This window comes from Homo sapiens, chromosome 6, assembly GCF_000001405.40.
Source record: "Homo sapiens chromosome 6, GRCh38.p14 Primary Assembly".
NCBI lineage: Eukaryota > Metazoa > Chordata > Mammalia > Primates > Hominidae > Homo > Homo sapiens.
In genome coordinates this window covers 135,169,946-135,182,143 of record NC_000006.12, presented here as the reverse complement: position 1 = coordinate 135,182,143, position 12,198 = coordinate 135,169,946, and the positions used below count along the sequence as shown (strand labels likewise).

General features: G+C 41.9%; 1 protein-coding gene across 17 annotated transcripts in view, besides 5 other annotated features; it reads right to left on the bottom strand.

The window, feature by feature from the left end:
* Positions 1-836, bottom strand: part of MYB (MYB proto-oncogene, transcription factor) — a 37,865-nt gene extending 37,029 nt beyond the window's left edge. For all 17 annotated transcript variants that reach the window (NR_134965.2, NR_134958.2, NR_134961.2 and 14 more), the window contains exon 1: positions 608-836. Coding sequence is in view for 8 of the 17 variants with exons in the window: in NM_001130173.2 (NP_001123645.1) it covers positions 608-630 (23 nt within the window). In the remaining 9 variants the exon portion in view is untranslated. The remainder of the gene's footprint in view (positions 1-607) is intronic.
* Positions 718-767: a silencer, noted in NCBI's record as "silent region_17565". NCBI's record gives its function as "represses an Ori minimal core promoter by ATAC-STARR-seq in GM12878 lymphoblastoid cells {active_cell/tissue: GM12878}" and the evidence as "EXISTENCE:reporter gene assay evidence [ECO:0000049][PMID:35858748]".
* Positions 828-1,047: a silencer, noted in NCBI's record as "silent region_17564". NCBI's record gives its function as "represses an Ori minimal core promoter by ATAC-STARR-seq in GM12878 lymphoblastoid cells {active_cell/tissue: GM12878}" and the evidence as "EXISTENCE:reporter gene assay evidence [ECO:0000049][PMID:35858748]".
* Positions 1,118-1,167: a silencer, noted in NCBI's record as "silent region_17563". NCBI's record gives its function as "represses an Ori minimal core promoter by ATAC-STARR-seq in GM12878 lymphoblastoid cells {active_cell/tissue: GM12878}" and the evidence as "EXISTENCE:reporter gene assay evidence [ECO:0000049][PMID:35858748]".
* Positions 1,608-1,717: a silencer, noted in NCBI's record as "silent region_17562". NCBI's record gives its function as "represses an Ori minimal core promoter by ATAC-STARR-seq in GM12878 lymphoblastoid cells {active_cell/tissue: GM12878}" and the evidence as "EXISTENCE:reporter gene assay evidence [ECO:0000049][PMID:35858748]".
* Positions 11,566-11,782: a silencer, noted in NCBI's record as "fragment chr6:135491500-135491716 (GRCh37/hg19 assembly coordinates)". NCBI's record gives its function as "represses an EF-1alpha promoter that drives an FKBP-Casp9 reporter gene in an ReSE screen in phorbol 12-myristate 13-acetate-treated (for megakaryocytic differentiation) K562 erythroleukemia cells {active_cell/tissue: K562(+PMA)}" and the evidence as "EXISTENCE:reporter gene assay evidence [ECO:0000049][PMID:32094911]".

The window sequence follows — 12,198 nt, the reverse complement described above, 5'->3', positions numbered from 1 at the left end:
CGAACCTCCAAAACCAGGTCTTAAGACAATTTGCAAAAGTAGAGACCCCTTTATCCCCCTAAAATCTGCTTTTCAGCCGCCTGTCAGCTGACACTGGTCCTCGCCTCCATAAAGAATGAATGAAATTTAAATGAACTACCTGCAGCTACTAAACAATCCAGCATTTTCCCTGTATCTGCCATATGCTCTGCACTTCCAAGTCCAAACATATCTCAATGCATCCAGCAATTACGCTGCGGATCCCTCGCCGACACCCGCGGCATCAAGCCAGGCACCTGGTGGGCTCCCCGGGGCTGGTGGGCACCGCTCTGCCCTCGGCTGGAACGTGCTTTCTTTTTCCCCCTAAAGAAAAATGTATCCCCATGCAACTTGCAAAATGAGCCGCAGGGCGTGCTTCCCAACGTCCGGATACATTTCCCGCAAAGACTCTTCCATTCATCAGTCTCTGGAGCGGCTTCTGCTGCCGAGGCAGGGGCTCCAGGTCCTCGGAGGGTCTGACAGCCCCTCAGATGATCCCGGAACGAATTCCCACCTGCTCCCGGGAGCCTGGCGCCCCGCGCGCCCCCGCGCGCCCCCGCCCTCGGCCGCCCGCCCGGCTCCCCGTTACCTGTGCCGGGGTCTTCGGGCCATGGCGCGGCGGGCGCGGGGCTCCGCCGAGAGCCGCGGGGACCGCACCGGGCTGCCGCCTCCCGCTGCCCGCCGCCTGCCTGCGTCCCTCCCCGGCTGCGCAGCGGCGCTCCGCACCGCTGGGGCGAAGTTTCTCAGGAGAAAGAGGAGGAGGAGGTCACGGAGGAGGAGGAGAAGGAGGAGGAGGAAACAGGTTGATATTAAAGTGTAAACTCTGTAAACAGAGATGCCATCAAACAAAGAGCTTTGGACACTCCCCCTCCCGCCAAATCTGGCGCCCCTGCAGTGCGCACGCGCCCTGCCCGCCGCCTCCGCGGTCGCCCTGGCTGCCGCCCGCGGGGCTGCCGGGCTGGCCGGGTCGCCGCTCCCATTCGGCGCTCGCGCCGCCGCGGTGCGCCTAGCGCGCCGCGAGGCCCGGGAGGCGCGCGGGCAGGGAGCCCGGGGCCAGGGAGGGGTGGCCGGGGGCCGCGACGGCGCCTTTTCCTGAGCAAACCCCGCTCCCGGGTCGCGGCGGCGCCGACCCGCGCCCAGTCCCGCCGCCTCCCCTCCTCCCTGGCTGCCGCACCGCGGTCGCCCGGCTCCGCGTGCTCCCGGGCAGCGGGACCAGAGCTCCTCCAGCTCCCACTCACTGTCGCGGGGGCGGCAAGCGGTGGGGGGAAATTCCCGCACAGAAGATTGGATTTTCGTCAAGGTTTACAACTGTGCCCTCTGGAGACGGGGAAATTAGGAGTTGGAGGAGTAGGGGATGTGAGCATATGTATTCATAGGCTGTTTGGCTAGGGTTTTTTTTCCTTCTTCTTAAATAAATAACATCTCTAATTTAACTTGTTAGTGACAAAGGACGCTTCAATACAAGTGGGCGGCAACCATCACCGCTCACTAATGGAGCGCCCCAGCGGAGCTTTCACTCCCCTCCCGGATCCTGCAGCCGCCACCGTCGTATTGTCACATGTCCTTCACTCTCACCCCAGCACACACCCGGGCCCCACCCACCCCGCCCCGCCCGGCCCAGGCGGTGCCCACCGCACACCTTTGCTCCCCTCCCTGCACAGAGCGCGCACCCTGGATTGCACACCTGCAAAAAAAAAAAAAAAAAAAAAAAAAAAAAAAAAATACACGGGGGTCCAGACAGCCCGCCCCTAGCAGAACTCAGGAAACCCCACGTTTGCATGCATGGTTTTAGAAGTAAAACAGTTTGTGATTTTGGAGGTCGGTATCCCTGCTTAGTGTCATTTGAGGGCTCTATTTTACGAGATAAAAGTCAGCAAAGGCTTTCGTGTTGTTTAATGAGGGTCTCCAGAAGTAAAGGAAGAAGATAAGTGCTGAATTTATAAGGATTGATGACTGGGGGGATTTTAGGGGAGTTTTAGTTTTACTTCCGTTTATAGATTAGAACCATTGGGGATTTTTTTTTCATTCTCTGTACACACTAATGTATTTTTCCTTTAATCTTTTAGGAGTTTGAGACTTCTGCTGACTGGGTTTGTGGGTGTCCCATGTGCCCCAGCAGTTCAAACTTAGCTCAGAAAGCATTTTTTCTTACTAAAAAAGCATGTTCTTACTAAAATGAGTCATAATTTTATTAAACGGTGAAGCATGCGAGGTTTCAAGACTATCTGGTGTTTTAGACTTTCTTTAAAATTGTTATATAGTTTAAATCTTTATCAAGTGTTAGTTGCTAGTAAGGTTTTAACATTCCTTTCCTCCTGAGAAGAAAATAACACTGAAACAAAATTATTGTGAGATATTTCGGATCACAATTACAAAGGACAAGGCAAATTAATACTTTTAAAGCCAATATTTATTTCTAGATTCTATAATAATTTTCTTTCTTCACATCAAAAATAAACAAAATCTTTTAAAAATATCTAGAATAAACATCTAGAAACCACCCCTAAAGAAATTGCATTCTGGCTTTCGGATTGCTTTATGAATCTAACTGGCAAGATTCCCAATTGCTGAGTCTCTTGGACACAATGTGAGTATCTGAACCCTTTGTGAAGTGAGTTCATAGCCTCTTTTTCAAGATTTTAGGAGGTGTGTAACTACTCCTAAGTTCTTGAACCCCTTTAAAGTAGAAAGATACTAAGTTCAGTTTTCCTTTTTTTCTTTGTAAATCATTTTCCTATGTATCATTTTGAGAATTTATAATTTTTCATTTCCCAGATATAGTTTTACATTTTTCCCTCAGTTGTATGACAATAATATGTTTGGGAATATGCATAGTCCAATAAAGAATTCACATGCAGTAATTTTATTAGGCTAATGTTGGATATATTGCTATCTGATAAGCTTATGGAAAAACAGAATCAAATGGAGTTATCAAAATTCTTGTATGGATGAAACTATATTTTTAAACTCATTACAGAATGTTTGTATTTATACATTTTCTCTCTCCATTTATAATTATTACAAAAGTATTTTTAGATGACAACTTTACACATTTCATCACTTTTTTTTTTAAGATCTGCTTGCTACATCAGTTATTTCAGCTGTGGCAGGGCTGCACTGGAGCTAAATTTGGGTACAGCCTTTCATTTGCAGTGCACTAGAAAGGGGTCAGAAAACTCTTTTGTAAAAGACCAGATAGTAAATGCTTTGTAGGCTATGTTGTATATTCTTCTGTGTCTTTCCTTGTCTGTCTTTCTTTTTGTCTTTTTTTACAACCCTTTAAAAATGTAAAAACCGTTTTTAGCTCAAAGGCTGTATTGAGTCTGCAGGCCAACACTAGAGTAGTTGGCCAACACTAGAGCAGTGATCCTCAATCTTTAGAGCCCAAGTGTCCAATCTTTTGGCTTCCCTGGGCCACATTGGAAGAAGGGCCACACATGAAATATACTAACACTAACGATAGCTGATGAGCTTAAAGAAATACCACAAAAAAACTCATAATGTTTTAAGAAAGTTCACAAATTTGCGTTGGGCTGCATTCAAAGCTGTCCTTGGCTATATGCAGCCTGCGGGTCACAGGTTAGACAAACTTGCTTTCGAGTGTATCAGAATTGCTGGGTGTACCCATGAAAGATGCACAGTCCCAGGCTGTCCCCCTAGAGACCATGATTCAGTAGGTTTGAGATGAGGCCTAACAATCTGCATCTTTAACAGTAGTTTTCATGGAAGGTCTGCAGAGCACTGGTTGATAATCTCAGTATCAGAGTGAAGGCAGACTGCTTTGATACACTTTTACCTTTTTTAAAAATAAAAAAATATGTATATTTTTGAGACAGGGTCTCCCTCTATTGCTCAGGCTGGAGTCCAGTGGCACCATCACAGTTCATTGTAGTCTCCACCTCCCAGGCTTAAGTGATTTTTCCATCTCAGCCTCCCAAGTAGCTAGAACTACAGGCATGCACCTCCATGCCCAGTTAATTTTTAAATATTTTGTTGAGAAGAGGTCTCACCATATTGCCCAAGCTGGTCTCAAACTCCTAGGCTCAAGCGCTTGATCCTCCTGCCTCAGCCTCCCAAAGTGCTGGGATTACAGTTGTGAGCCACTGCACCCAGCCCACTTTTACCTTTGCCATTTGTCTCTCACCGCCTTCCTCTCCCTCATTCACTTTCACCTCTCCTGGGCTAAAGATTCAGGCTCTCCATAACCCAAACTAATTTAACTCCGTGAGAAAGTTGGTGCTGCTGACCAGAGGGCTGTAGCTGCCTGTTCCTTCTTCCTTCGCTACTGAACTTCAACCTCAGCTTGAAGGAAAAGGAATCGCTTGATCACATGCTGCTCATCATTAGGATTCTCCTGCTGAAAAAAGCAAGCACTTAAGGGATTTTATTTTACTCTAAGCACTGGAGAAGGGCTGAAGGACAAAATATATATAAAAGATACAAATTCTAGTTTCTTTGCTTCTAATTGCTGGGAAATCCTGGGCACGTGGTGGATCTTTAATCCTCGTGATCCACATCCCAAAGATGAATCAGGCTCATCAATGGTGAAAACAGACCAGATTAGGGGCTCCATGTCTCTACCACCCACCTTTCCTCACCCACTCAACCCAGTTTGGCTCAGGGCATTAAGAGGGAAATAGTTACAGTAAATGGTTAAAATGCAGACAATTCTTAATTATTTCAGTTAATGAAGAAAAGCTGTGGCATGTATAATTGAAATCCATAGTTTTGAGATAAATCTCATGTTGACTCCCCCAGAAAATCTTTTAGTAATGACAGTGGACTAAGTGCTACCTCAGTGTAGCATGTTTCATAGAACCTCCATAACAGTGTAGTATGTTTCATAGAACCTCCATAACAGATAGTGACCAAATAAATTTTTATTTTAAAATGATTCCTGGATTTGGCACTTCTTGTTTGTTTCCGCTCTCCAGATTCTCATCAACTTACATATTCCTATGACAACCAACCCACATATTTTTATTGTTGTTTGAGCTGTCTTGTATAAAAGTTATGAGTCTTTCCATAAAGAGGGAAGGACAGTCCAGAGAAAGTCAAAAGTGAGAGCAAAATCACACAATCAGAATCCACAAGGCATGTTCCCAGCACAGGAAAGAAGGAGCTAGCCAGATTGCCTGAAGCAAGGAGAGCTTTGAAGGCCGGATTCATGTATGTGCGTTGAATAGCAAAGCTATATTATCAGAGCTGTGTGTGTGGAAGATTAATCTATCAGTATTGTCAGATAGATTGGAGTGAGAAGAGACAAGGGGAAGAGGCTAGGTAATTGTCTGGGGTAGGACAGTAACCGTAAGTGGAATGAAAAGGAGGAGGCAGATCAGAAGAACATAGGCAGAGCCTTCAAGACTTAGCAACTGATTGGGTTGCTAAGGATATTAGAGGCACCATTAATAGAAATAGGGAAGTCAAGAGGCGAAGAGAAGTATGCACTGGGAGATTCAAAGAGGAAAGCATGTTTAGATTTCGGTATGTTAAATTTGTGGTTTCTTATGGAAGACATCCGGGTAGAGTTGTTCAGCAGGTGGTAGAGAGTGTGGGATCAGAGCCTGCTGGCGAAGTCAAGCTGGGTCAGGAATACACGGGAGCTAAATTTTGTGAGTTAATTGTTAGACACAGCCATTATTAAAAAGTAAATTATATAAACTTACAGTTAAATATATTTTATTTTAAAAGACAATAAATATTCAAAACTCATCACTTCCTATTTTATGACATTTTCCTATTATCTACATACTTGAGGTTATTTATGTCTATCACACAATGTAATATGTGCTGTTGTGCATCTCTTTCCAATTTCATATGTAGTGATGTAATGTTAGTAACTTGAAATTGGCTCTAGTTGGAGTATTTACACCACAGGAAATGGCAAGTGCTACAAATAAGGGCTTTTTCTTATTGGAAAACTGATTGTTAAACATTCACCAGTAGCACATCAAATAAATGCTTTATTTAAGAGTTTATTTACATGAAGGCAACAACTGTGCTATTTCATAGAGTTGCTAATGTAGAGATCTGACCAAGGGAAAGTCTTTGGATAATATTTAAGAGGTTAAAAGACAGGGCTGAGACTGAGAGGTAGAGGCTGGGTGGAGAGACCTGTTGGGGAATAAAGAAAGTTATATATATATATACACACACACACAAATGTTTTCTTCTTTTAATAAAATTCTGTATTTTTTCAACTGATTTTGAAAGGCTTTGATTTATTTGAGGAAAAGGTGGCTTTCAAATACACACACACATACGTATATACATATATGTTTTGAGACAGAGTCTCGCTCTTATTGCTCAGGCTGGAGTGCAATGGTGCGATCTTGGCTCACGACAACCTCCGCTTCCCGAGTTCAAGCGATTCTCCTGCCACAGCCTCCCGAGTAGCTGGGATTACAGGCACCTTCCACCACGCCCAGCTAATATTTTGTATTTTTAGTAGAGACGGGGTTTCACAATGTTGGCCAGGCTGGTCTCGAACTCCTGACCTCAGGTGGTCCACCCGCCTCAGCCTCCCAAAGTGTTGGGATTACAGGCGTGAGCCACTGCACCCGGCCTCAAATATTTTTATATGTGACACGATAAGAAGCACATCTTACATCCTATCTCAACGCACACGCACACACACACACACACAGAGCTAAGAAAAGTTCTGGCCATGTGTGGTGGCTCACACCTGTAATCCCAGCACTTTTTTGGTATGCCGAGGTGGGAGGATTGCTTGAGACCAGGAGTTTGAGACCAGCCTGGGCAACATAGTGAGACCTTGTCCCTATTAAATAATAATTTTTAAAAGTTTCACAAAACAATACTTACCCCTTACTACCAAGCATGCAATCTGAGACCTCTTCTCTTCTCTTCTCTTCATTCTGGTCAGGATCCCAAAGTTGTTTTCGTGCTCTGTTTATAGGTAGTGAATCGCAGTTTGAAAAACATTGCTGTAGAGGATGAAGGTCTTACCTCTTTCTGCTTTAGAATATCTGTTTTATGGAATCGTTAACTTTTCTCCAAGTGACAGTCCTATCTTTTTAAAGCTTTCGGGGAAATTCTTCAAGACCAGTTTACAGATGTAATTTCTTTCTTTCTTTCTTTCTTTCTTTTTTTTTTTTTTTGACGGAGTCTAGCTCTGTCACCTGGGCTGGAGTGCAATGGCACGATCTCGGCTCACTGCAACCTCTGACTTCCTGGTTCAAGCAATTCTCCTGCCTCAGCCTCCCGAGTAGCTGGGATTACATGCGCCTGCCACCACGCCCAGTTAATTTTTGTATTTTTAGTACAGACGGGGTTTCACTGTGTTGGCCAGGCTGGTCTTGAACTCCTGACCTCGTGATCCGCCTGCCTGGGCCTCCCAAAGTGTTGTGATTACAGGCGTGAGACACTGCACCCGGCCTACAGATGTAATTTCTCTCTTATCTCTTCTCACAACTGTTCTTAGTCAATTCCCCTCCTTCTCTATACTTTCCCACATATGTTATAAATGTAAAATAGCAGCTTTCAAAGTTAGTCAACAAAACAGTAAGCTTTTATTAGTAGAAATGCTAATAGAAACAACAACAACAAAAGATTAATAACATTTAGGGGCTTATTGGAATAACAAATAACAGGGTGTTTAAGGCAGGTTCATCAAATGTATGAGCAGCACACAGTTTCTCTGAGCCTCATATTTCAAACCTTCAATCCATGGAGGCTGCAGTAGAGATCTTTAAAAATGTTTCCAGTCTTTAATATTCTGTTTCTTTCTTAAATACTCAGGTCTCTCAATTTACCTTTGTATCCCTGACAATGTTTCCATAGTTCCTTATAGTTGATAAACACATGTGTTTACTTAGTGTTGGGCACTGTGCAAGGCTTGGGCCTGCAGAAAGAAAGAAGTGGAACTTTTACTAGATGATTCCTGCACATTCAGGGCCTGTTTTCTCTTTCTATTGTCACCACCTTCTTCTAGGCTATTATTACTTCACCCTGAACTACCATAACAGCCCCCTAATTAATTTTCCACCCTGTGGCCACTTTTCCCCCATGCATTCTGCATCCCACTGCTCAATAATCTCATTATACTCACTTTTAGCATGTTAGTCATCTGTTTAAATACCCTTAACTGGCTCCCTAATGTTGACAAGATAGAGATCTGAACTCCTTAACTTGGCATTCCCTATACTGAGCTTGCTCTGGCCTCTGTGCCCAGACAACCTTACCCCCAGGGGTGATAGTATTTAATACCTGAAGTGGCTCATGTATTGGCCAATCAGAGTGGGCCTGGCTATAGACAACCTGCAGGGCTTGACGGGCACACTGACTGCATGCCATTTTGCCTTAGAACACAACCTACCTTTCAGCCTTATCTCTTATCATACTCTGTTCACTCTGTTTCCTCCCCCAAAAAACCATTGGCAATCTCAGGCCTTTGGTTACAAGCATGCCTCCTGCCTGCAATGCCTTCCTTTCTCCTCTCTGCTTATGTAAGTGCTACCCATTCTTCAGGCCCTGCTGAAGTCCAAATCTTCCTTCTGAAGCCTTCTTGGACCTTGCTAATCCACAGTCATTTCTCCCACCTGTGAGTTGTGTTAATACCTACCTTCCCTGACTCTTGTTGAGTGTATGGCCTATGTTACCTTTCTTTGCTATCATCTATCTATCTATGTATCTATCTATGTATCTATCTATGTATCTATCTATCTATCTATCTATCTATCTATCTGTCATCTATTACCTATCTATCTATCTAAGCATCATCTATCTATCTATTTATAAATGTGTCTTATTTCATCTGGAGCCTTCATTATAGGTCAGAGAGGAGAGACAGTATCTTTTACCTTTCTACCTACTCAGTTCCTAGAACGGGGTCTTGAACATAAGTACGTACATAAATCTTTGTTGTGCTGATGACAACTGATGAGAACTAGTTGGAGCTGTTTTATTTATTTTTTATTTAATATACTTATTAGCACGTTATATTTGGCTTTAGAGATTACAACAGGCTGTGCCATATATTATATCATTTAATCCTCACAGCAGTTCATGCCTTTCTGCCTATGTCTCCCCCGCAGGTATTATTTTCCTCAATTCCAGGTCAAGTAACTGAAATTGAAACAGGTGAAGTAATTTGCACAAGGTCACACAGATAACATTTACCAGAGCTGGGACTGTTTAAATGAAGGTTTTTTTGTTCCAAATCCAAAGTTCTTTCCGCTACTCTCTGGCAGCCTTCAACTTTTAACTCCTATGCCTTTATGTTCTTGTAATTCTTCCTGTATTGTGAGTCCTTCAAAGGGATTCAATTCTGTCCTCAGATAAAGGTTGATAACCTTACAAATGATAGCAAAATCATAATTTTAAGCTTACTTGTAGTGCTTTATTTCTATGATTTGGATAGATTTCTGTCTGTTTGGCAATATGACTTTGGAACTGTTTTTCTTTTAAAGCATGATGTTTCACATATTATTTTTCTGAATCTTATTTCTGTCTCTCCTACTTTATCATTGTATATTTATCTGATTGTTGACTTTACTACATCTTTATATAATATTGAATTTACCTCAATGGGCCATCCATTTTAAAATTAGTCATAAAATCAATAAGTGAATGAGTGCTTAATTCCAGCAACTGTAGGTTTTTTTAGGCTTTGTGAAAACCATTTGGTAAGAAATGGCATGTTTTTTAATCACCACTATGTCTTTCCTTGTTTTTTTTTTTTTTTTTTTTTTAACCAAAGTCTAAGAAAATAAAGTTTTTAACTCGAACAGAACAAGAAGAAAGGAACGGATTTAAGGGAGTTATTTTTCTTGGGCCCTTCACAGAAGTGGACTACATGATTTTAAATGTGAACCCTGTTAGGATGAAGTGTACCATAACTCTACTCTTTCTTTTACATTTGTTGCTAGAAATACAAAGTTTGTGGATGATGTAAAAAATCAATTTTACAAAGTTTTGACATCTATAGAAATTGCTTATTCCAATTTACTCTTCAGTTAAGGTAACGGTTCTGAGAAAAATAAAAACAATCAGTTTATGAAACATATCAGTTCTTGAGTTATCTTAATTTGGTTTAAATATTTGTGTTAAGCAAAACATTCAGCCTCTAAGGAAACTATATCAAAGTGTTTATAATCCTTTGTCTTAAAATTTTGACAAAGTTCCAAAGTGCTAGTTCTGCTGGGAGCTTGGGGAGGCTCATTTGATCCTTTAGTATGGAGCTTGACAGAGAGCACTTTGGCCCCAAAAGGCGGAATTTGTTTGAAAAATGTCAGGTACACCAAAATCGTGATATAAAAGCTCTTATTTCTTTATCAATAATTGATAAATTATAAGTGTATATATTTATGGGGAACAATATGACATTTTGATATATGTATAAAATTTCTAATTATGTTTTAATCTAGGTTACATGGAGTTTTGATAACTTTTTCTCTTTTTTTTTGAGATGAGATGTTGCTATGTTGCCCAAGCTGGTTTTGAATTCCTGGGCTCAAGTGATCCTCCTGCCTCAGCCTCCCAAGCAGCTGGGACTTAGAGGGTGTGCATAGCACCTTAGCTGGCTTTTAGATTGCATATACTTTTTTTTCTTTGAAAACTCTTTTGCTGCTTCTTTCTTTCTTCTAAATAACTGGTAGTTAAGGATATCCTCATGGAACATTTAAAGAACAATATCTATGCAAAATACTTTTTAAAAGAAGATACCTTTTACCTTCACACTGTTACATGTTTTTCTCAATGATTTGACGTACATGTATATAAAGTTGGTGTTACTAATATTTAAAACTCTGAAAAAAACCTCACTCTATTGCACTTAAAGGTACCTTTCAGTGTGTAAATATCAAAATTTTCATGATGATAATATTGATGAAAAGCCACAAAACATTTTGTCATAAGTAGGTCTCTTTGAAAATATAAGATGGGAACAGATTTTATTAATAAAAACTTGATGCAGTTCCTCCATAGTGGTGTACAATCTTGTGCCATGTTATGTCTTCATTGGTTCCTTTTGAAGACTGTCAACAGGTTTTGCATGTAATGACTCATTCAAAAGAACATGCCAAGCAAAGTTTTGAAATTAGAACAGGCTTGGTTGTTGACGTTCTCTCTCAGTGAATGGCATTACCACCCTTTCAGTTGTAGTCAAGCCAGGAACTTGGAGTCGCCCTAAACTCTCCCCTCACCGACATTCAGTCAAGTTCAAAGCCCTGCTAAGTTCACTGCTTTATTTCCCTCCTTTTTAATCTCTCTTACCATCACTTTAGTTTAGAGAATGATCAACTCCCTTGTGCTGGGCTAGCCCCTCTCAAAGCCATTTTCCTCTCACCTGTCAGGCAGAAAAATTCCTAAACACAGTCCTGGCTATAATACTCCTTGCTTAAAATGCTGCTGGTAGCAGTGGCTCTTGAGCAGAATATCAGTGTCATCTGGAAACTGTCTTCAAACTACACATGCCTCCCCTATTTCTTCCACCAATGTCCCCTTCACCCTAAGAAAACCCCTACTCTAAAGATTAAAGCATTTCATCTAAGGTTTTTATAGCCTCATATTACACTTATGCCCTAGTAACAGTGCACTTCTCATAGGTCCTCATATATGCCATAAGGACTTGTGCCCAGATATCTCACTCATTCTGAGCCTCTGCTTGCTACTCTCCTCCCAGCCTTCTTTGGTGACTAATTCCTGCTCGTCATTATAAATTCGTTTAGAAACCTGCTGCTCAAAAAGGTCTTTCATGGCATACTGTGAATGCTCCCATGCCTCCAGCAGAGTACTTACACAATATCCACTGTTTCATGTCTCACTCTTGCCCTCTGAAAGAGGGAATCATATTTTAGTGGCATAAGAATGACCATTTAACACTCAGACTCCTGAGTAACCATCTCCAGAAGTTGAATTCAATAGGCTTAGCTAAGACTTAAGAATATGCATTTTTAACAGGCAGAATCAGGTGATGCTGACGTGATGGTTTCTGGACCACGTCTTGAGAAATACTGCACTTGGATATAAGCACCTTAGAGGCTGGAATTTTGGGCTCTATTAACCTTCACGTAACAAATCACTTGCACTTTGTAGATGTCCCATAAATGTTTGAGGCAATGAATTAAACTGAGCATAGCTTTTAATTCAAGAGTTATGTCAATTTCAGTATTTTTAGGCCTTTTCACTTCTCCAGTCCTATCCCACCAAAGAAAATCC